The 24121-nt window shown below is 36.2% G+C and overlaps 1 protein-coding gene across 6 annotated transcripts in view; it reads right to left on the bottom strand.

Moving 5' to 3' along the window:
- Nucleotides 1-24121, bottom strand: part of LRRIQ3 (leucine rich repeats and IQ motif containing 3) — a 172162-nt gene that overhangs the window by 11928 nt on the left and 136113 nt on the right. For 4 of the 6 annotated variants that reach the window (NM_001105659.2, XM_047445383.1, XM_047445373.1 and 1 more), the window contains one exon: nucleotides 3271-3991. In NM_001105659.2, coding sequence (NP_001099129.1) covers nucleotides 3271-3991 — 721 coding nt within the window. The remainder of the gene's footprint in view (nucleotides 1-3270; nucleotides 3992-24121) is intronic. The other 2 variants (XR_007079570.1, NM_001322315.2) reach the window with 1 other exon arrangement.

A 24121-nucleotide genomic window follows, 5' to 3' on the forward strand; every position in this document is an offset into this window, starting at 1 on the left:
TCCCAGGGGAGGGGCAACCAGCACCACAGCTGCCGCTGCCTAATGTCTAAGCTGCCTGAGGTCCTTAGGGGAGAGGCACCAGCCAACACTGAGACTGATAGCTGCCTAACACATTAAGCTCCCAGGGCGGGTATGGGGCAGCAGCCATCTCTATAGCTCCAGGATATGCTTTTCCCCTGATGGAGCCAGGGAGTCTGGATAGCTTCGTCCCAAGAGGTATCCCCCACAGCCCAACACACCGGCTGTGGCAGACTGCAGCCAGAATGCCTCTTCAGGCCTGAACCTGACCCATCCCTCCTCACTGGGTGGGGTCTCCCTGCAGGAACTCCAACAACTCCAGCCAGGGGCTCAGGGACAGAAGCCTGATCTCCCTGGGCCTGAGCCCCCAGGGTGAGGGGTGGCCACAGTCTCTGCAGACCAGCAGACTTAACCTTTCCTCCTGCTAGTTCTGAGGAATCTGGGCAGCCCAGACAAGTGGGTTTCCCCCCCAGCAAAACACACCTTTCACCAAGGGATGGTCAAAGTGCTTCGCTAAACAGGTCCTGCTCCCTGTGCCACTCAACTGGGTGAGACTCTTAAACAGGGATTGTCAGACACCCTATACATGAGCATTCCTACTGAGATCAGGTAGGTGCCTCTCGAGGTCAGAGATCCCAAAAGAAGAAGCAGGCACTCATCTCTGCTGTTCTCCAACCTCCTCAAGTGACATCTCCAGGCACAGGAGTGAACCAGATGAATAGTGCTTGAAGCGAACCTCTGGCAAACCTCAGCAGCCCTACAGAAGAGGGACTTGACCATTGAAATAAAAACAATCAAACAGAAAACAACAACAATAGCATCAGCAAAAAAGAGTTCCCAACTAAAGCCCTATCCAAGGGTGAGCAGCCTCAAACATCAAAACTAGACATATTCATGAAGATGAGAACGAATCAATGAAAAAATGCTGCAAAACCAAAAGGCCAGAGTTCCTCCTCTCCTCCAAATGATCATAATGCCTCTCCAGCAAGGGTGCAGAACTGGACAGAGGATGAGATGGGTGGATTGACAGAAGTAGGCTTCAGAAGGTGGGTAATAATAAACGCCACTAAGCTAAAGAAGCATGTGCTAAAGTTCTTAGCAAAGAAGGTAAGAACCTTGATAAAAAGTTAGAGAAGGTGCTAACTAGAATAACCAGTTTAGAGAGGAACATAAATGCCCTGATGGAGCTAAAAACATAGGACGAGAACTTAGTGAAGCATACACAAGTATCAACAGGTGAATCGACCAAGTAGAAGAAACGATATCAGAGTTTGAAGACTACCTTGCTGAAATAAGTCATGAAGACAGGATTAGAGAAAACAGAATGAAAGGAATGAACAAAATCTCTGAGAAATATGGGACTATGTAAAAAAAAATGAACCTATGACTGACTGGAGTACCTGAAGGAGATGGGGAGAAGGGAATCAAGCTGGAAAACACATGTCAGGATACTATCTAGAAGAACTTCCCAAACCTAGCAAGAAAAGCCAACATTCAAATTCAGGAAATACAGAGAACACCACTAAGATACTCCATGAGAAGATCAACCCCAAGACACATATGGGCAGCCAGAGAGAAAGGCCAAGTAATCTACAAAGGGAAGCACATCAGACTAACAGTGGACCTCTCAGCAGAAACTCTACAAGCCAGAAGAGAGTGGGGACCAATATTCATCATTCTTAAAGAAAAGAATTTTCAACACAGAATTTCATATTCAGCCAAACTAAGCTTCATAAGTGAAGGAGAAATAAAATCCTTTCCAGACAAGCAAATGCTGAGGGATTTCATCACCACCAGGCCTGCCTTGCAAGAGCTCCTGAAGGAAGCACTAAACATGGAAAGGAAAAACCGGTACCAGCCACTGCAAAAACACACCAAAATATAATGACCAATGACACTATGAAGAAACTGTACCAACTAGTGTGCAAAATAACCAGATAGCATCATGATGACAGGATCAAATTCACACATAAAAATATTAACCTAAAGTGTAAATGGGCTAAATGCCCCAATTAAAAGACACAGACTGGCAAATAGTATAAAGAGCCAAGACCCATCAGTGTGCTGTGTTCAGGAGACCCATCTCACGTGCAGACACACATAGGCTCAAAATAAAGGAATGGAGGAACATTTACCAAGCAAATGGAAAGGAAAAAAGAAAAACAAGCAAGGGTTGCAATCCTAGTCTCTGACAAAACAGACTTTAAACCAACAAAAATCAGAAAGACAAAGAAGGGCATTACATAATGGTAAAGAGATCAATGCAACAAGAAGAGCTAACTATCCTAAATATATACGCACCCAATACAGCAGCACCTGGATCCATAAAACAAGTTCTTAGAGACCTACAAAGAGACATAGTCTCCCACACAATAATAGTGGGAGACTTTAATACCCCACTGTCAATATTAGACCGATTAATGAGACATAAAATTAACAAGGATATTCAGGACTTTAACACAGCTCTGGATCAAGTGGACCTAATAGACATCTACAGAATTCTCTACACCAAATCAACAGAATATACATTCTTCTCAGTGCCACATGGCACTTATTCTAAAATTGACCACATAATTGGAAGTAAAACCATCCTCAGCAAATGCAAAAGAACTGAAATCATAGCAAACAGTCTCTCACACCACAGTGCAATCAAAGTAGAGCTCAGGATTAAGACACTCACTCAAAACCACACAATTACATGGAAATTGAACAACATGCTCCTGAATGACTCCTGAGTAACTAATGAAATTAAGGCAGAAATCAGTGTTATTTGAAACCAGTGAGAACAAAGACACAACATACCAGAATTTCTGGGACACAGCTAAAGCAGTATTAAGAGGGAAATTTATAGCACTAAATACCTACATTGGAAAGCTGGAGAAAGATCACAAAATGACACCCTAACATCAGAATTAAAAGAGCTAGAGGCCGGACACGTTGGCTCATGCCAACTGAGGTTGATAGCACTGGTCAAGAGGCTGATGATGATGCCATTTGTGATAATAAGAACAACTCATAACTAAGAGGTAGATAGGTTTTGTTGCACAGGTGGAGAGATGGGGAAAGACAGAGTTATTTTATTGCCTTATCTTTGGTAATATATTAGTATATTATTTGTTCTTTGTTTTAATTTTTCAAAGTAGAATGTACTATGTTACAAACAGCATACTAATTATTAGGTCTTAAAATTTAGCATGCAATATTCACATGTAATTGACTTTAATGCCTCTGTTATATCTAAATTGTACCTACCTAACTTTTTTCATTTCTTTAAGTAAATTCTTTCTATATTTTTCTGCTTTTAGTTTTTGCTTAACAATCAGGCTTTTCTCTTTTAGGACAGCCTCATTCTTCTCCAGTCTGTCAATTTTAAGTAGTCCTCTGGTCAAAAGAGTGCGCTCATTATTTAAGTTTTGAACTAATAAACGCTCTGAAGCCTTTTGGGATTTTTCTTTTAGAAACAGAGCTTTTCTCTCTCTAGCTTTTTCAAGGTAGTTGAATCTGTTTTGCCAAACTTGTCGTAAACTGTTCTGAATTGTCTCTTTATTTTCTTCAATTAGTTTTTGTGTAGCATATTTTTTCTGATTCAAATGTTCATTAACAGCTACTCTAACTCTTTCTCGAGCAACTTGTGCCATGGCTACAACTCTTACTTTTTCTTTATGGTATTCCTGCTTCTTTTGTTCTGTGTAATATTTGTCAATATCACTAAATGTTCGGAGTTTCATACCAGCTCTTTGTGGTGCAAAAAACTCTTTCATACTCCGCTCCAATCGTATGTCTTTTTTAATGATTGGCTTTGGATGAGTAGTATAGATTGGCTGAGGATATGCAGGAAAAAAATGTTGTTTTTTCTCTCTCAATACTGCATTATTCTTCAATGAACCTGAAGTGTATATGGGTAGTTTGAAAACTGATATCCTAAAACTGGTATCCAATTTTTCATCCACAATTTCATCTTCAGACTCCTGACCTACATCAAACAGAAGCAAATATTATACATTATACAAGAGCTAAGTACATTTTATTTTCTCTCCAAATATATCAATAAACTTGATAAGAACCTTTTATTTACTTTACTAAGAAGAATTTTTCCCAAGTACCTTTTCAACTTGTGATTTAATAGTAACTTTGGAGAAGAAAATCACTATTAAAACATTTTCACATAGAAATGCACTGAATCTAATTCTTATATTTTCTGTATTATCTTCCACAATTACTTAACTTGCAGTGACTCAATAGCAGCAACTTATCACATACTTAGTACTACTTAACCACACATATTATTTTTTCATATAGTTTGCTAAAAGAAACAAAGTTTAATTAAGCAAAGAATAATTCATGAACTGGGTAGCACTGAGAACCAGTGAAAATTTAGAAAACTCTGCGTAATAAATGAGCAGGGAGTATTTATAGATAGAAAATGGAAGAAATATAGAAACAGCTTGATTGGTTATGGTTCAATTTTGCCTTATTTGGACATAATCATATCAGTTGGTGGCCTGTGATTGGCTGAAGCTTGACTGCTGTGATTGGCTATGACTTAGTTATCTTTTACAAAAATATACCTGTAAGTTAGGCTTTCAGTTTGTTTACATACTAAGTTAGGTTGCAATTCATTATGTAAGGACTCAAGGAACAGAGGCAGCCTTAGGCCACATTTAACAAGTTATTAGTATGTCATATTTGCAAAGGGCATTGTAATCCATTTTACCTTATTTTTCTTAACTCTGGTGGAAAATAGTAGCAGCCATCAATCGTTTTTCCCTTTTTTGGACAGACAAAATTACTAAAACTCTTAGCTTCCTTTGCTTTCCTTTGTGTGACCATGGGCTAAGTCCTTTTTAATAGAGTGTGAACACAATTGTTATGTGTTATTCCTTGTCCAAGAGATTGTTTTAAGAAACAATGTGCACCTTCTTTCCACTACGTAGAGATGAGAATGAAACCCCAAAAGATGGTGGAACCATAAGATAGAAGCTGCCTGCCTGCCTGAATCACTTGTTGAAAAAACTTCTCATGGACCAGAATCATCCAAGTTGGGTCATTTATGAAGCCAGAAATCAAAAGTAATTATGTTTCAGTCAATATGCATTTCTGGGTCTATTTGTTACTATACCCAACCTAATTAATACAATAAATTGAATCACATTGTTGTTTGCATATTTACTTTTTGACAAACCTACTAATGAATTCAGAATCAGGTGACAAATACAAGTATAAAAGTTATGCTTGTTAATTTAGGAGAAAAAGGTGTTTCTTGATTTCTTCCACTTATTAAAATTACATTCCTGCTAACTCTAGTCTACAAGGGTTTGATCTTCCTTAGAAAATTACCTTGTCTTTATGTGTAAAAATGTCAAATATGATGCTGGTGGTTTTATGGAAGTTAAGTGAACTATGAAGAAGGGCAGGGCTTGTAGTCTAGACGGACAGTAGAAAATAATTGAATAGGCAAGATTTTCACGAAAGGCTACAGGAGTATCAACGTTGGAAAAGTAAGTAAATTCTACAGCAAAGTAGGAAATCAAGTCTAGCAAATAGAAAAGGCAGTCCATCAGGATAGAAAGCCAAAGTGTCCAGAAATAAACACTAAATATGTGTGTCCAAAGCAAGAGACTGAGGAGCCAAAGTGTCAAAAGTCAGAGTCTCTCATTAGTTGGTTGAACATAGTCCCATTAACACTTTTAAAAGTCTCCTAATTTCTTTCTCTGTTTTCAGAATCTCTGTTTCAAGAAATCACTCACTGCTATATTTATCTTTCTTAAGTAGGGTTCTAACAACATTGTACCTTATACACAAACAAAGGAAGACAAAATCTTTATGGCTTTCCACCCATAGTCTGAAGAATAGTTTCCATTTTTGGCCTAGGATTATATAATACCAGAAAAGAGCGACATATTTTTCCCCAACATATGCATCATATCTTATCATCATTGGGCCTTTGCTTCTATTATTTTAAGTTTTGCTCAGTATGCTGTTTTTCTTATCTGTATCTGTTCATATTCTATGCATTCTTCCATGTCTTTTCACGTCATATTTTCCTTATTGCTTAAAAAAGAATTCATATGTTTTAAACTATCACATATGTTTTTCCTGATAGAATTAATCATATTCCACTTACATTAAAGCTCTATGTAGTAGTTTTTAGCTATAGGATCGAACTTGATATAACCTTCTTATGAGTAAGGATCTACTCCTTTGGTCTTTGATGCTACATTCCCAGCCCCTAGCCTACTATTTTGCACAGTTTGGTTTGTGCAGCAATGTAGTTTAGATGTGTGTCCCCTCCAAATCCCATGTTGAAATGCAATCCCCAATGTTGGATATTGGGCCTAGTGAGAGGTGTTTGGGACATGGGGTAGACCCCTCATGAGTGGCTTGGTGCCCTCTCGTGATAATGAGAGAGTTCCTGTTATGGTAGTTCATATGAGAGCTAGTTGTTTAAAAAAGTCTGGCACCTCTGTCTTCATGTGATATGCCAGCTCCCACATCACCTTCTGCCATAATATTAAGGGAAATTTATAGCTCTAAATGCCCACAGGAGAAAGCAAAAAGATCTAAAATTTACACCCTAATATCACAATTAAAAGAACTAGAGAAGAAAGAGCAAACAAATTCAAAAGCTAGCAGAAGACAAGAAATAACTAAGATCAAAGCAGAACTGAAGGAGACAGAGTCACAAAAAACCCTTCAAAAAATCAATGAATCCAGGAGCTGGATTTTTGAAAACATCAACAAAATAGACCACTAGCCAGACTAATAAGAATAAAAGAGAGGAGAATCAAATAGATGCAATCAAAAATGATAAAGGGGATATCACCACCGATTCCACAGAAAATACAAACTACCATCAGAGAATACGATAAACACCTCTATGCAAATAAACTAGAAAATCTAGAAGGAATGGATAAATTCCTGGACACTACACTCTTCCAAGACTAAACCATGAAGAATTTGAATCCCTGAATAGACCAATAACTAGTTCTGAAATTGAGGCAGTAATTAATAGCCTACCAACCAAAAAAAGTCCAGGACCAGAGGGATTCACAGCCGAATTCTACTAGAGGTACTAAGAGGAGCTGGTACCATTCCTTCTGAAACTATTTCAAACAAGAGAAAAAGAGCGAATCCTCCTTAACTCATTTTATGGGGCAAGCATCATCCTGATACCAAGACCTGGCACAGACACAACAAAAAAAGAAAATTTCAGGCCACTATCCCTGATGAACATTGATCCGAAAATCCTCAATAAAATACTGGCGAACTGAATCCAGCAGCACATCAAAAAGCTTATCCACCACTATCAAGTCAGCTTCATCCTTGAGATGCAAGCCTTGTTCAACATATGCAAATCAATAAACATAATCTAGCACATAAACGGAACCAGTGATAAAAGCCACATGATTATCTCAATAGTTGCAGAAAAGGCCTTCGACAAAATTCAGCAGGCTTCATGCTAAAAATGTTCAATATACTAGGCATTGATGGAACGTATCTCAAAATAATAAGAGCTATTTATGACAAACCCACAGCCAACATCATACTGAATGGGCAAAAACCGGCAGCATTCCCTTTGAAAACCGGCACAAGACAAGCTTGCCCTCTCTCACCACTCCTATTCAACATAGTATTGGAAGTTCTGGCCAGGGCAATCAGACAAGAGAAAGAAATAAACGGTATTCAAGTAGGAAAAGAGGAAGTCAAATTGTCTCTGTTTGCAGATGACATGATTGTATATTTAGGAAAACCCATCATCTCAGCCCAAAATCTCCTTAAACTGATAAGCAACTTCAGCAAAGTCTCAGGGTACAAAATCAATGTGCAAAATACACAAGTACTCCTATATACCAATAAAAGACAAACAGCCAATTCATGAGTGAACTCCCATTTACAACCACTGCAAAGAGAATAAAATACCTAGGAGTACAGCTAACAAGGGATGTGAGGGACCTCTTCAAGGAGAACTACAAGCCACTGCTCAAGGAAATAAGAGAGGACACAAACAAACGGAAAAACATTCCATCCTCATGGATAGGAAGAATGAATGTCATTAAAATGGCCACACTGCCCAAAGCAATTTATAGATTTAATGCTATTCCGATCAGGCTACCATTGACTTTCTTCACAGAATTGGAAAAAACTACTTTAAAGTTCATATGGAACCAAAAAAGAGCCTGCATAGCCAAGACAATCCTAAGCAAAAAGAACAAAGCTGGAGGCATCATGCTACCTGACTTCAAACTATACTACAAGGCTACAGTAACACAAACAGCATGGTACTGGTACCAAAACAGATATATAGACCAATGGAACAGAACAGAGGCCTCAGAAATCATGCCACATATCTACAACAATCTGATCTTCAACAAACCTGACAAAAACAAGAAATGGGGAAAGGGTACCCTAATTAATAAATGGTGCTAGGAAAACTGGCTAGCCATATGCTAGCTGAAACTGGATCCCTACCTTACACCTTATACAAAAATTAACTCAAGATGGATTAAAGACTTAAACCTAAAGCCATAAAAACCCTAGAAGAAAACCTAGGCAATACCATTCAGGACATTGGAATGGGCAAAGGCTTCATGACTAAAACACCAAAAGCAACAGCAACAAAAGCCAAAATAGACAAATGGGATCTGATTAAACTAAAGAGCTTCTGCACAGCAAAAGAAACTATCATCAGAGTGAACAGGCAACCTATAGAATGGGAGAAAAATTTTGCAATCTGTCCATCTGATGTAGGCCTAATATCCAGAATCTACAAAGAGCTTAAACAGATTTACAAGAAAAAAAACAAACAAACCCATCAAAAAGTGGGCAAAGGATATGAACAGACATTTCTCAAAAGAAGGCATTTATGTGGCCAAAAAACATATGAGAAAAAGCTCATCATCTTTGGTCATTATAGAAATGCAACACAAAACCACAATGAGATACCATCTCACACCAGTAAGAATGGCAATCATTAAAAAGTCAGGAAACAACAGATGCTGGAGAGGATGTGGGGAAATAGGAATGCTTTTACACTGTTGGTGGAAGTGTAAATTAGTTCAACCATTGTGGGAGACAGTGTGGCGATTCCTCCAGGATATAGAACCAGAAATACCCAGCAATCCTATTACTAGGTATATGCCCAAAGGATTATAAATCATTCTACTATAAAGACACATACACACGTATGTTTATTGTGGCACTGTTCACTATAGGAAAGACTTGGAACCAACCCAAATGCCCATCACTGATAGACTGGATAAAGAAAATGTGGCACATATACACCACAGAATACTATGCAGCCATAAAAAAGGATGAGTTCATATTCTTTGTGGGGACATGGATGACACTGGAAACCATCATTCTCAGCAAACTAACACAAGAATAGATAACCAAACACCACATGTTCTCACTCATAAGTGGGAGTTGAACAATGAGAACACATGGGCACAGGGAGAGGAACATCACATACTGGGACCTGTTGGGGTGTGATGGGCTAGGGGACGGATAGCATTAGGAGAAATACCTAATGTATCTGATGGGTTGATGGGTGCAGCATACCACCATGGCACGTGTATACCTATGGAACAAACCTGCACGTTCTGCACATGTACCCCAGAAATTAAAGAAATTAAAGTATATATATATAAAAAAGAGGCCTGATAGAGGTCCTTCACCCTCTACCATCTGTGAGCACACAGCCAGAAGGCACCATGTATAAACCAGAAAGTGGGTTTTCAACAGACACCAAATTTGTTGGTGTCTTGTTCTTGGACTTCCTAGCCTCCAGAATGATTTTAAAAAATCTGTTGTTTATAAGCTACCCAGTTTATGGTATTTTGTTATAACAGCCCAAATAGAGCCCCAACCCCCAGTGTGGCTTTATTTGGTAGTGGGACCCCTCAGAAACTGATTAAGGTTAAATTTGGTCATAAAGTGAAACCCTGATTGAATCAGGTTAGTGTTCTCATGAGAAGAAATATCAGATAGCTCACTTTCCCTTCTCACTATGCACACATATCAAAGAAAGGCCATATGGACACAGCAAGATGGTGGTTTTCTAAAAGGCAGAGAGCCCTCACTAGAAACTTACCATGTTGGCATCCTGATCTCAGACTCAGACTCCAGAATTGTAAGAAAACAAATTTCTGTTCCTTAAGTCACCCAGTCTGGAATTTTGTTATGACAGCTTGAACAGACTAACACAAAGGAAGTTCCCTCTCCTGAATTTTTAAGTAAAGTTGCCCAACTGGTATGCTGTGGCAAACTAGTGTGTTATTAATGGATAATAGGAGTGCTCAGAGACATTGATCACCCTGGGATGGTTATTTATTTCCATTTTACTTCAATTTTAATTGATCCTAGCATGTCAATAATTCTTCTAATTTGGAGAGGGGAGTATAATGTTCCTAGAATGTCCAAAATGTGACCATTTGTCCAGTCTTGGGTCTCATATCTCAATTTCATTGTGTTATTAATGTAACAGATAACAATTTCCCCCATAACCTCCCAGCAGCTACTTAAAATTACATATGATCTCAGTGAACGATTAAGTAGCTTCTGGCTTCCTAGAATCATTTTGATTCATTCACCAATTAATTCATCTATCTATCCTTCCATCCATTCATTCATATTTTAGTAGCTTGCAAATTCTATGGAAATTCAGGGATCACAAATATAAAAGTTATTATTCAAACTTTCTTTAGTTCTTAACTTTTTATGTAAATTTTTTTTCCTTTGTGTTTGAGAGTTGTTTTCCATGAATATTAGCAGTCTGTCTTTACTCGTAAATGTTTTCTTTGTTAAATATAGAAGTCCAATAATAATATAATGTGTGAACAGTGTATACATAAAATTGAATGTTTGTTGTGTATAAGACACTTTTCTAAACAAAATACATGAGGTATTTACTAAGAAATGCACTATCCCAGGGCTCATGAAACTTCTAGTGGAGAAGATGGATAACAAATTTATAAATAAGAAAATATCAAATAGAAATAAATGCTCTGATAAAAATTAATTGGCAGTGAGAGGGTCTAGTAATTAGATTGGGTGGATAGGAATGGGTTTTTAGAGGATATCTGATTTAACCCTAGATGAGAAAAGATAAGTAAGAACAAGCAAGGAGAAAAAATGAACATTCCAGAAGAAAAGAGAAGCTAATATAAAGGCAGTAGACAGAAGCACATTTAGCCTGCTAGGGATACAGAGAGAAAGCCACCTGAAATCCACTAAGTAAGAGGAGAGTGGTGCTGGAGACGCTCACAGAGGTAAGGCAGGGGCCAGATTCTATGCGGCATGGTAGGTCACAGAATAAAAGTTTTGGATTTCATTCTGAGATTTGAAGTCGTTGAAGTAGGGGACTGATATGGTATGTGATTTACCATGAAGACAATGGATTTGAATGTGGACCGTAAAATTCTAAGTAGGGGACTGGTTAAGAGGCTACTCTAGTGGCCCAGGTAAGATTTTATGATAGGAAGGGCCTAGATGAAAGCAATAAATTCACAGAGAAGTAGAAAGATTTGGCATATGTTTTACAAGTATAGTCAGAAGGGGCTGCTGATAACTTAGATAGCAGAAGTGAGAAAGAAAAAAATCAAAGATGAATGGTAGCATTTTGGCTTGAGAAACCAGGTGAATGGTGATGCCATTTGCTGACATGGGAAAAACTGCAGGAAAAGCAGATTTGGTGAGCTAGAAGAAATATTTTTATATGTATTACTGTTTTGCAGTTCATACTTTTCATATTTAAACACATAACTAACATTTTCCTAATTCAACGTCATATTCAAATTGTTTATATTAAAAAATCATTTAAAACTTTCACTAATGTAATGTCATTTTAAAGTATTTTATTCTTAAAATAAAATCATTTTGAACAAATACCATTTATTTCCATTTACATGATTCCTAGTAATACTCAGGTTAAAACTGAGGAAAATGACACCTTTGTGTCTTTTTTTTCTTTTTTTTTTTTTTTTGAGACGGAGTCTCACTCTGTTGCCCAGGCTAGAGTGCAATGGCATGATCTCAGCTCACTGCAACCTCCGCCTCCCGGATTCAAGCAATTCTCCTGCCTCAGCCTCCTGAGTAGCTGGGATTACAGGCACACACCACCATACCTGGCTAATTTTTGTATTTTTAGTAGAGATGGGGTTTCACCATGTTGATCAGGCTGCTCTCAAACTCCTGACCTCATGATCTGCCCACCTCGGCCTCCCAAAGTGCTGGGACTACAGGAGTGAGCCACCACACCCACCTTGCATACTTTTTAAATAATAATACCAGATAATACTTGAAGTACAGGTTCTCCTTTCTCCAGCCATAACTTCCACAAACTGAATTTTTTGACACAAAGGCAACAAAATGGCTTGTTTTAGATATAGTATTAAAGAAAAGCTTGCTAAAAAGCAATTATTCTTATATTTATACCTTATATGTACCTCTCAACTTAAGAGCAAAACAACTGGATCATATCAGCCAATTTACTTTCAGTTTTCTGAACAGATAGTTGGATCTTTTAGGACTCAGAGCAACACAGAAGCCAATACCATTTGTGGTCAACAGAGCTTGTTTGATTCTTCTGAACGTATTGCAGATTTATGAACCATCTGTGAAGAAACAAATGGTCCAAACCTATTTAAAATCAGCATAGCTGTGATTTGAATGCTCACAAGTGGGTCTGAAGCAGTTGCTTTCCTCAGCAAACTGGCCTGACACCTTTGCACAAGCTTATAGCCTTATGTGATACATAAGCTTTAAGTTTAGGTGAAGCAAAGAACAGGAAAATAAGGAAAATGAAACGAATATAAGGAAGAAAGCAGTGGCATAAACTTCTGTCACGTACTGAGTTCTTCCTGATTTGCTAGATGCAAAAAGTTCACTTATAGCAATGGTTGCAATTTCTTCCTATTTTCTTAGTAGCAAATGTTTTCAATGAAGTCTCTCCCATTACACACGCACATATACTCTGGTATAAATGACTTATCTAAGATATGGTATAAGATCACCATAATAAAGAATATAGTTTATGAAACATCTTACATCTCACATGTAATAAAGCTCTCCTGGGGATTTATTGTAATAGAATAGAAAATTACAGAGATGCACAGGCGTTACCCCTCTCACTTTACATCTTTAATCAATTTCTGAAAATTAGACATTCTGTAAAGAAGTGCTATGCTGGAGCCTATTTCTTTATATTCTACATGGGAAAATTGTAACACATTAAATGTTAACCACCAACCCTTATTGGATTTCCAAAAATGAAAATAGAGCATTAAAACATTAAAGCAGGAAAACACACTAAAACATGAATTTATAAGTACCGTTCACACTAATGTACAAATTGCTTAAAACATTGCTTTTTGATTATCAGTTATTAAGGCTGCTTACAAATAGTATCCATTGCAATGATGTGACTGTTAGTGACAACGTCTCAAATAGCCATACCTATTGTTGACATTTGGCATGCTTTAAAAGTTCCTACATACGATTTTAAAAACATCCGTATTGAGATATACTTAATATTCCATATTAGTGGTATATTAAATCATTAAAGTGTACAATGTAATTGTTTTAATACATTTATAGAGTTGTGCAACCATAAGTTATCACCACAGTCTAGGTTTAGAGCATTTTCATCACCCCAAACAGAAACCCCATACGCATTAGAGTCATTCACCATCCCCTGTCTCCTACCATCTCCCCCACCTTAAGCAACCACTAATCTACTTTCTGTCTGCCAGATTTTCCTATTCTGGACATTTCTTATAAATGCAATCACACAATATGTGATCTTTTATAAGGGGTTTCATTATTCTAAGGTAGTAAATTACAGCTTTATGATACGTTCCCTTTTAAAATTTGCCTTTTATACAGTTTGCCTTCGCCACTCCACTCTGAGTTCTACCTGTCTGGTAATTTTAGGTAGAACAAAATATTTAAACCAATTTCATACCTGGCCATAAAGAGTGAAAAAAATAGACTGGGCAAGTTTGACTTAGGATTAAGGTCAAACTTTCTACAGGTTCCTGAATAACTATGAATCAGTCCGTTAATAATTATATTATTTCCCTTTTCCCAAGCTTACCATTTCTTTCATCTTCTAAGGATCATGACGCTTCAATCTTTTTTTCCTCTAAGATCAGGATCTTAATTTGAAGATCTAAATTTCTCTACTTGATATCTTAGGCCCAAATATGTGAGTTCCACCAGGACCGCGCTGACTACATAAGTCTTACTAGTCCGATGTCCACTGAAACAGTGCTTTGGATCTAACTTTCTCTTTTTTTGAGCCATTGGACAGCTACAGCCACTGTTGGATAGTAGTTAGGGTGAAAAACCAGGAGCACAATCACTTGCATATCTGAAATGCCACATCCTATCATTTCAGAAAGTAACTTCATGGAAGTTACTCAAATTCACGATGCCATAGTTTCTTCATCTATAAAATGGGAGAATGAAAGTGCCCACCTTATAGATTTGCTGTGAGGGTTGAGTGAAATCTGCTTGGCACTGAGGAAGAAATTATAAAATTTAGTTGTTCTTCTTATATCAGCTCTCAATTTCATTTTTTGATCTAAAACTTCTTATGTTCTCGATAATGGTAGACATCTCTAATATCCTCAAAAGCCTTTCTCACACTGCTTTTCTCACACTCTGGGCAGAGAGCGGTTATTCATTGGAGAAGATTATAAGCCAATACAGATTTACTATCTTTATCTGATATAATAAATTTTGCTTAATCTCTTATTATATAACAATTACAAATCCCTCTCTGAGCTCTTCTCTCTGTGGAATATATTCAATCTGCAGTTCCTTTTTTTCATAATGTGTATTATATCTGACTTCTTTAAAACAAAATAAATTCTAGATTGTAGGAATCTTACACTTGATCTTAAGTCTTCAATTAATTTTGATTTAACAATTTCCTTGTTCACTATTCTTTCTGGTTTTTAAAAATAACATCTTCTTTGAGATACAATTCATATGCCAAAGAATGTATCTTTTTAAAGTGTACAATTACAATAATCAAAACAGTTTGGTATTGGCAAGAGTATTGACAAATAGATCAATGGAACAAAGTAGAGAGCCCAGAAATAGATCTGTCCCGTGATATAGTCAACTTATCTTTAACAAAAGAGCAAAGGCAAAACAATGAAGTGAGACAGTCTTTTCAACAAACGGTAATGAAATAACCGGTCCTCCACATGCCAAAAAAAAAAAAAAAAACAAATTAATCTAGACATAGACCTTACACCCATGACAAAAATCAGTTTGAAATGGCTCATAGATTTAAATATAAAATGCAAAACTATAAACTCAGAGAAGAAAATGGAAGAAATCCTATATAATTTTGAGTATGACAATAACTTCTTTAAAAAAACCAAAGTTCCATGAAAGAAATAACTGTTAATCTGGATTTCATTAAAATTAAAATTTCTGCCCTGCAAAAGAGACTATCCAGAGAATGAGAGAGCAGCCACAGACTTAGAAAACTATTTCAAAACACACAGTTGATAAAGAACGTTATTAAAACTCAACAATAATAAAATAAACAACCAGATGAAAAAATGAGCAAGGGGCTGGGTGCACTGACTCACCCCTGTAATCTCAGTACTTTGGCTAAGGCAGGAGGATTGCTTGAGCCAGAGTTTCAGGTTGCAACAGGATATGATGGCACCACTGCACTCCAGCCTGAGCAACACAGCCAGACCTTGTCTCTAAAAGCAAATAAATAAATAAATAAACAAATGGACAAGAGACTTCCTTAAAGAAAATATACAGATAGCAAGAAAGTATATAAAAAGATGCTCCACATCATATGTTATTAGAGAATTGTAACTTCATAAGATAACACTACACACCTACTAGAATGGCCAAAATTCAAAACATTGACAACACCAAATACTGATGAGGTTATGGAACAACAGGACCTCTCATTCATTGCTGGTAGGATGCAAAATGGTACCACCACTTTGGAAGACTGGCAGTGTTTACAAAACTAAAGATATTCTCACTGTAAAATCCAGCTGTCATGTTCCTTGGTACCCATCAAAATGAATTGAAAACTTTGAAAACTTGTGTCTGTACAAAAACCTGCACATGGATATTTATATTTAATAGCAGCTTTATTCATAATTGGCAAAATATGGAAACTACCAAATATACTTTAGTAGGTGAATGGATAAATAAACCTTGGTATATCCAGACCATGGAATATTATTCAGTGCTAAAGACTTGTGCTATCAAGCCATAAAAAAAAACCACGAAAAATAAATGCATATTATTGAGTGAAAGAAGCCAATCTAAAAAGGCTACATACTGTATGATTCCAGATACTGGTATACAATATGTGTGAACAGGTAAACCTGTAAATAATAGTAAAAACATCAGTGGTAGCCAGGGATAAGGTGGGGAGGATAGGATGAATAAGGAGTGTAGAAAGGATTTTTAGGGCAGTGAAATGATTCTAAATGATACCGCGATGTTGGATAAATATCATTGTACGTTTTTCAAAACTCATAGAATGTACACCAAGAGTAAACCCTAAGGTAAATTATGATCTTTTGCAGATAATAATGTGTTAGTTTAAGTTCATCTATTGTAACAATTGTACCACTATATTATATGTGGTGTGGGATGTGGATAATGAAAGAGGTTCTGCGTATATTGAAACAGACTGTTATGGAAAAATCTCTGTATTTTCTGCTCAATTTTGCTATGAACAAAAACTGTCCTAAAAGTTTATTAATTACAAAAAGGAAGAAAACACAAATATATATATATATATATCTATATATCTACATACACATACATATAAATACACACATACATACATACATATACACACATACATCCACATTTTTAATGCATGTGTATATATGTATATATTGATGTGCAATTATAAATATAATTTAAAATACAATTATGAATTACAACTATAAATTATATAAAATGTATAATTGTATTACATATTATGAATTATATAATTATATAAAATATTATAAATATATAATTATATAAAATTTAAAAATATATTTTAAATAATATGTAAATATAAATATAGCTTATATAAATACCCACATACATATTAAGTGTGTAATCCAGTGGGTCTTTGCCACTTTTTATCACAGAATAACACAACCATCATGACATGTATGCACATACATACACATGCATACATACACATACACACACATACATACATATACACTTTATATATATATATATATATATATATATATATACACACACATACATATAAAGGGTATGATTCAGTGTTTTTCTGACACTTTGTCACAGAATAATGCAACTATCATGAATACCTAATTCAAGAACATTTTCATCACCGTAGAAAGAAAGCAGGTATCTATTAGCAGTCATTTCTTGTTCCCCCCTCTCTTCTGCCCCTGACAACTACAAACCTATTTTATATCTCTATAGGTTTGTATTTTCTGGGCAATTCATATACATGGAGTCATAAAATATGTGTTTTTTGTGTCTTCTCTCTTATTTAACATGTTTGCAAGAATCATCCATGTTGTAACATTTATCAGTATTTCATTCCTCTTTGTAATTGAGTATCATTCATTATACATATTCATTATATGCCCAGGACTGGGCAATGCATTTTTTACTTACTGGTTGATGGATATTTGATTTTTTTATTTGTTTCCACCTTTGAACTGCTTTAAGTACTGCTTCTTTCATATACAATTTTTATGTGGACATATGTTTATGATTCTCTTGGCTATACTGCTAGAAATAAAATTAGGGGTTCATATGGCAACTGTTTAATGTTTGAAGACTGCCAATCTGTTTTTCAAAAGTGGCTGTATCAGATGCAGGAAAAGCACTCATGAAATTAAACACCCTTTCTTGATAAAAATTGAATAAAGTCCTGGCATGTTGGCTCACGCCTGTAATTCCAGCACTTTGGGAGGCCGAGGTGGGCACATCACGAGGTCAGGTGATCAAGATCATCCTGGCTAACACGGAGAAAGCCCGTCTCTACTAAAAATACAAAAAAATTAGCCGGGTGTGGTGGTGGGTGCCTGTAGTCCCAGCTACTCAGGAGGCTGAGGCAGGAGAATTGCTCCAAGTCGGGAGGTGGAGGTTGCAGTGAGCCGAGATCATGCCACTGCACTCCAGTCTCGGTGACAGAGTGAGAATCTGTCTCAAAAATAAATAAATAAATAAATAAATAAATAAATAAATAAATAAACTCAACAAATTAGATATAGCAGGAACATACTTCAACACAGTAAAGACCATATATGACAAAACCATAGCTCATATCATACACAATGGGAAAAATTTTAAAGCTTTTTCTGTAAGATCTGGAAAAAGATAAGGATGCCCACTCTCACCACTTGTATTCAACATAGTACTAGAAGTTGCAGCCAGAGCAATTAGGCAAGAGGGAAAATAGGGATCCAAATTGGAATAGAGAAAGTCAAACTGTCCCTCCTTGCAGATGACATGATCATACATATAAAAAACTAGGAAGACTCCACCAAAAAACTCTTAGAACTAATAAATCAATTCAGTAAAGTTGCAGACACAAAATCAACATACAAAAATCAGTAGTGTTTTAATACACCAATAGTGAACTGTCTGAATAATAAATCAAGAATGCAATCCCATTTACAATAACTACAAAAATAAAATAACTAGAAATAAATTTAACCATGAAAAGAAAATATTTATATAACATAAAATACAAAATACTGATGAAATAGTTTCAGGAACACAAAAATAAATGGAAAACTATCCTGTGTTCATGGATTGTCAGAATTAGTATTGTTAAAATGTCCATACTACCCGATATGTGTCCCCAACCAAGTCTCAACTTGAATTGTTACCCCCACATGTTGAGGGAGGGACCTGGTGGGATGTAATTGGATCATGGAGGTGGTTTCTCCCATGCTGTTCTCATGATAATGAGGAAGTTCTCTCAAGATCTGATGTTTTAAAAGTGGCAGTTTCCCCTGCACTCACTCTCTGTCTCCTGCCACCATGTAAGATGTACCTTGCTTCCCCTTTGCCTTCGCTATGATTGTAAGTTTCCTGGGGCCTCCCCAGCCATGCAGAACTGTGAGTCAATTAAACCTCTTTTGTTTATAGATTACCCAGTTTCAGGTAATATCTTTATAGCAGTGTGAGAATGGTCTAATATACTACCCAAAGTGGTCTACAGATTCATTGCTATTCCTATCAAAATACTAACGACATTCTTCACAGAAATAGAAAAAAATTCCCCAAATTATATAAGATCCTGAATATCCAAAGCAACTCTGAGCCAAAAGAATACAAGTTACTATAGCTTTTTAGTATATTTTAATGTCAGGTAGTGGAAGCATAGTACCTGACATTAAAATATACTAAAACGGTATAGTAACCAAAGCAGAATGGTACTGGCATAAATGGAGACACATAGATCAGTGGAACATAATAGAGAGCCCATAAATAAATTCATACATTCACAGCCAACTGATTTTAGACATAGGTGGCAAGAATACTCATTCAACAAGGACAGTCTTTTTAATAAATGGTGCTGCAAACACTAAATATTCACATGCAGAAGAATGAAACTAGACCCCTATCTCTCACCATATAAAAAATCTACTCAAAATGCATTAAAGACTTATATGTAAGACTTGAAACTTTGAAACTACTAGAAAACAAAAGAGAAATGCTGCATGACATAGGACTGGGCAAGGACTTTTTGAAATAGACTTCAAAGGCACAGGTAACAAAAGCAAAAATAGACAAATGGGATTACACCAAACTGAAAAGCTGCTGCACAGCAAAGGAACCAATCAGCAGAATTGGAGAACATATTCACAAACTATACATGTGATAAGGGGTTAATATCAAAAATACATAGGGAACTCAAACTCAATAGCTAAAAAAACAAGCAACCCAACTAAAAAATAGTCAAAATCCCTGACTAGACATTTATCAAAAGAAGATATAAAACTTGCCAGCAGGTATATGACAAAATGCTTAATATCACCAATCATTAGGAAAATGCAAATCAAAACAGTGAGATATTGCCTCACCCCTCTTAGAATGGCTATTATCAAAAAAACAAAAAACAAAAAACAAATACTAGTGAGAACACAGCTAATGGAGAACTCTTATACACTGTTGGTAGGAGCATACATTAGTACAATGACTATGGAAAATAGTATGGAGGTTCTTCAAAAAACTAAAAATAGAAGTATCATATGATCCAGCAGTTCCACTACTGGGTGTTCATCCAAAGGAAATGAAATTAGTATTCAGAGACATCTGAACTCCCATGTTTGTTGCAGCACTATTCACAATAGCCAAGAAATGGAATAAACCTTTGTTCATCAATAGATGAATGGATAATGAAAATGTGGTATATATACACAATGGAATATTATGCAGAAATAAAATGGAATGAAATCTTGTCATTCGCTACAACATGGATGAGCTTGGAGAATGTTATATTAAGTGATATAAGCCAGGTACAGAAAGACAAATATTACATGTTATCTTGCATATATGGAAGCTAAAAAAGTTTGTCTCATAGAAGTAAAGAATAAAACAGTGGTTTCCAGAGGCTGGAGAGTGTTGGAGAAGGGAAATAGTCAGAGGTTGGTTAACAGATACACAAATAGATAGGAGGAATAGGTAAGTTCTAGTGTTTTGTAGCACTGGGGAGTGACTATCATCAACAACAATTTGTTGCATGTTTTCAAATAGCTAGAAGAGTGGACTTTTAATGTATCTAACACAAGGGAATGGTAAATGTTTGAGGCGATGAATATTCTAATTATGCTATTGATCACTGTGCAATGTATATCTGTGTTGAAACATCATACTGTACCCCATAAATATGTATAATTATTATGTATTAATTACAAACAAAATAGAAAGTAAATTGATGTATCATTTTACATCCAGCAATGTATGTAAATCCATCTGTAATCCACAAAGTTTCCAATTTCTCCTTATCTTTGCCAACCCTTTGCACTGTCTGTGTTTTTTATTATAGCCATCTGAATGGGTGTGAAATAGAATCTCATTAAATTCTTTATTTGTATTGCCCTGGTGGCCAAAGATGTTGTAAGATATTTTTAATATTTCTGGATACAAGTCCATAGCAGATATGTTATTTGCAAATATTTTATCTTACTCAGCGAGTGTCTTTTCACTTTCTTGATGGTATACTTTGAAGCACAAAGTGGTTTATTTTTTCAACTTTGATGTGGTTCAATCTTTCATTTTCTATCTGTATTTATTTGCTTCCTTTTTTTCCTTTTCTTATTATTTTTGGCTTATGCTCCTAGTGGCATATCTAAAACATCGTTGCCCAAGTTAAGGTTACAAAGGTTTACTCCCATCTTCTCTTTTAAGACATTTATAATTTTAATGCCTATGTTTAGATCTATGATCCATTTAAAGTTAATTTTTGTACATGGTGTGATGTAGAGATCCAACATCAATTTTTGAATGTAGATATATAGTTGTCCCAGCACCATTTTTTGAAAAGACTATTCTTTCCTCAATAAATTATCTTGGCACACTTGTCAAAAAGTTGTATTGCCTTGATCTAAATGTCTTTCATTATGCCAGTTTTCACATTGTCTTAATTACTGTAGCTTTGCAGTAAGTTTCAAATCAGGAACTGTGAGTTCTTCAAATTTGTTTTTATTTTTAAAGATCATTTGGTTGTTGGAAATCCCCTACATTCTATGTGGACTTTAGGATCATCTTTTCCATTTCTGAAAAGAAAAAGCATTGAAATTTTGATAGGGATTGCTTGTATCTCTATATTGCTTTCAGTAGTAATATCATCTTAATTTTAAGTCACCCATTTTAAGAAAATGAGTGTCTTTCCATTTATTTAGATCTACTTTAATTCTTCAGTATAGAAGTCCTGTACTTCCTTCATTAAATTTATTCCTAGTTATTTTATTCTTTTTTGTTGCTATTATAAATAAAATTGTATTCTTAAATTATTTTCAAATTATTCGCTATATAATTGATTTTCAAATATTTGCGTATTTTTATACTTCTAGGAAAGTGTTCATTTCATCTAACATAAAATTTCTTTGCATATTGTTCATTGTATTCCTTTATCATCCTTTTTATTTCTGGAAATTTTGTGGTAATGTCCCCTGTTTCATTTCTGATTCTAGTAACCTGAGTCGCCTTCTTCTTCGTCGTCATCTTCTTCTTCTTCTTTTTCTTCTTCTTCTTCTTCTTCTTCTTCTTCTTGTTCTTCTTCTTCTTCTTCTTCTTCTTCTTCTTCTTCCTCTTCCTCTTCTTTCTCTTCCTCCTCCTCCTCTTCCTCCTCTTCCTCTTCTTCTTCCTCCTCCTCCTCCTCTTCCACCTCCTCCTCCTTTTCTTCTTCTTCCTCCTCCTCCTCATCCTCTTCCTCCTCCTCATCTTCTTCTTTTCTACTTCTTTTTTTCTTAAGGTGGAAAGTTAGGTTATATATTTGAAGTATTTTTGCATTTTTAATACAGGTGCTTACAGATATAAATTTCATTCTCAGCACTGCTTTAGCTGAAACTCATAAGTTATTTTTGTTTTCACTTACCTATCTATATTTTCTAATGTCATTTGTAATTTTTTTCTCTGATCCATTGGTTATTGGAGAGAGTATAGCTGGGTGTGATGGTGCATGACTGTAGTCCCAGCTAATAGAGATCACTTAAGCCCAGGAGTTTGAGTTCACAGTGGGCAACATAGCAAGACCCTGTCACACACACACCAAAAAAAGGTAGGAGGAACATCTGCCACCAAGGGACCAGGACATCAGGAAGACCGGTGCACTCCAAGCAGATCTTCAGAAGGAAGGCATTGAGAGTGGACAGAGAGGAAACACTGCTAGGTTGAAGGGGCAGGAATCTGGGACCTCTGCATGTAGCTACCACACATCAGGACTCATTTTGACCCCCAGTGACTTCTGGGGAAGGAGTGAGTTTAGCAGGCAAGAAGCGTCCCACTCTCACCACAGACCTCTGGAATTCTGGCAGCGGGAGATGTCACAACTTTCAAGGACACTTGAGCTGGCAGGGAAAGCTGCTTAGAGAGGTGGAGGGGCAGGACTTGATCTGATATATGACCTCAGCAAAGTTTCAGGATATGAAATCAATGTACAAAAGTAATAACATCCTCATACTCCAACAACATCCATGCTGAGAGTCAAATCAAGAGTCCAATTCCATTCACAATAGCCACAAAAAGAATGAAATACCTAGGAATACAGCTAACTGGGGTGGTGAAAGATCTCTCTCATGAGAATTATAAAACACTGCTCAAAGAAATCAGAAATGACACAAACAAATGGAAAAACATTCCATGTTCATTGATAGGAAGAATCAATACTGTTAATCAATATTGTTAAAATGGTCATATTGGCCAAAGTACTTAACAGATTCAATGTTATTCCTATCAAATTATCAATGACATTCTTCATTGAATTAGAATATTTTAAAATTCGTATGGAACCAAAATACAGACTGAATAGCCAAGACAATCCTAAACAGAAAGAACAGAGCTGGAGGCATCACATTACCTGACTTCAAACTATACTACATTTGCAGAAAATGAAAACTCGACCACTTCCTTATACCATATAGAAAAATCAACTCAAGATATATTAAATACTTAAATGTAAAACCTAAAACCATGAAAACCCTGAAGGTAACCTAGGAAATACCATTCTGGACATGGGACCAGGCAAAGATTTCATGATCAACATGGTAAAAGCAATTGCAACAAAAACAAAACTTGACAAATCAGGTTGGGCATGGTGGCTTACACTAGTAGTCTCAGCAGTTTGGGAGGCCTAGTCCGGTGAATTGCTTGAGCTCAGGAACTGGAGACTAGGCTGCATAACTTAGTGAGACCCTCTCTCTACAAATAATACAAGTATAGCCAAGCTTGCTGGCACATGCCTGTAGTCACAGCTACTAGAGAGGCTGAGGTGGCAGGATTCCTTGAGCCTGGGAGGCTGAAGTTGCAGGGAGCTGAGATCATACCACTGCACTCCAGCCTGGGAGACAGAGTGAGAGTTTTTTTCAAAAGAAAATAAAATTGACCAATGGGACCT

The sequence above is a fragment of the Homo sapiens genome, chromosome 1, assembly GCF_000001405.40.
Source record: "Homo sapiens chromosome 1, GRCh38.p14 Primary Assembly".
NCBI classification, from domain to species: domain Eukaryota; kingdom Metazoa; phylum Chordata; class Mammalia; order Primates; family Hominidae; genus Homo; species Homo sapiens.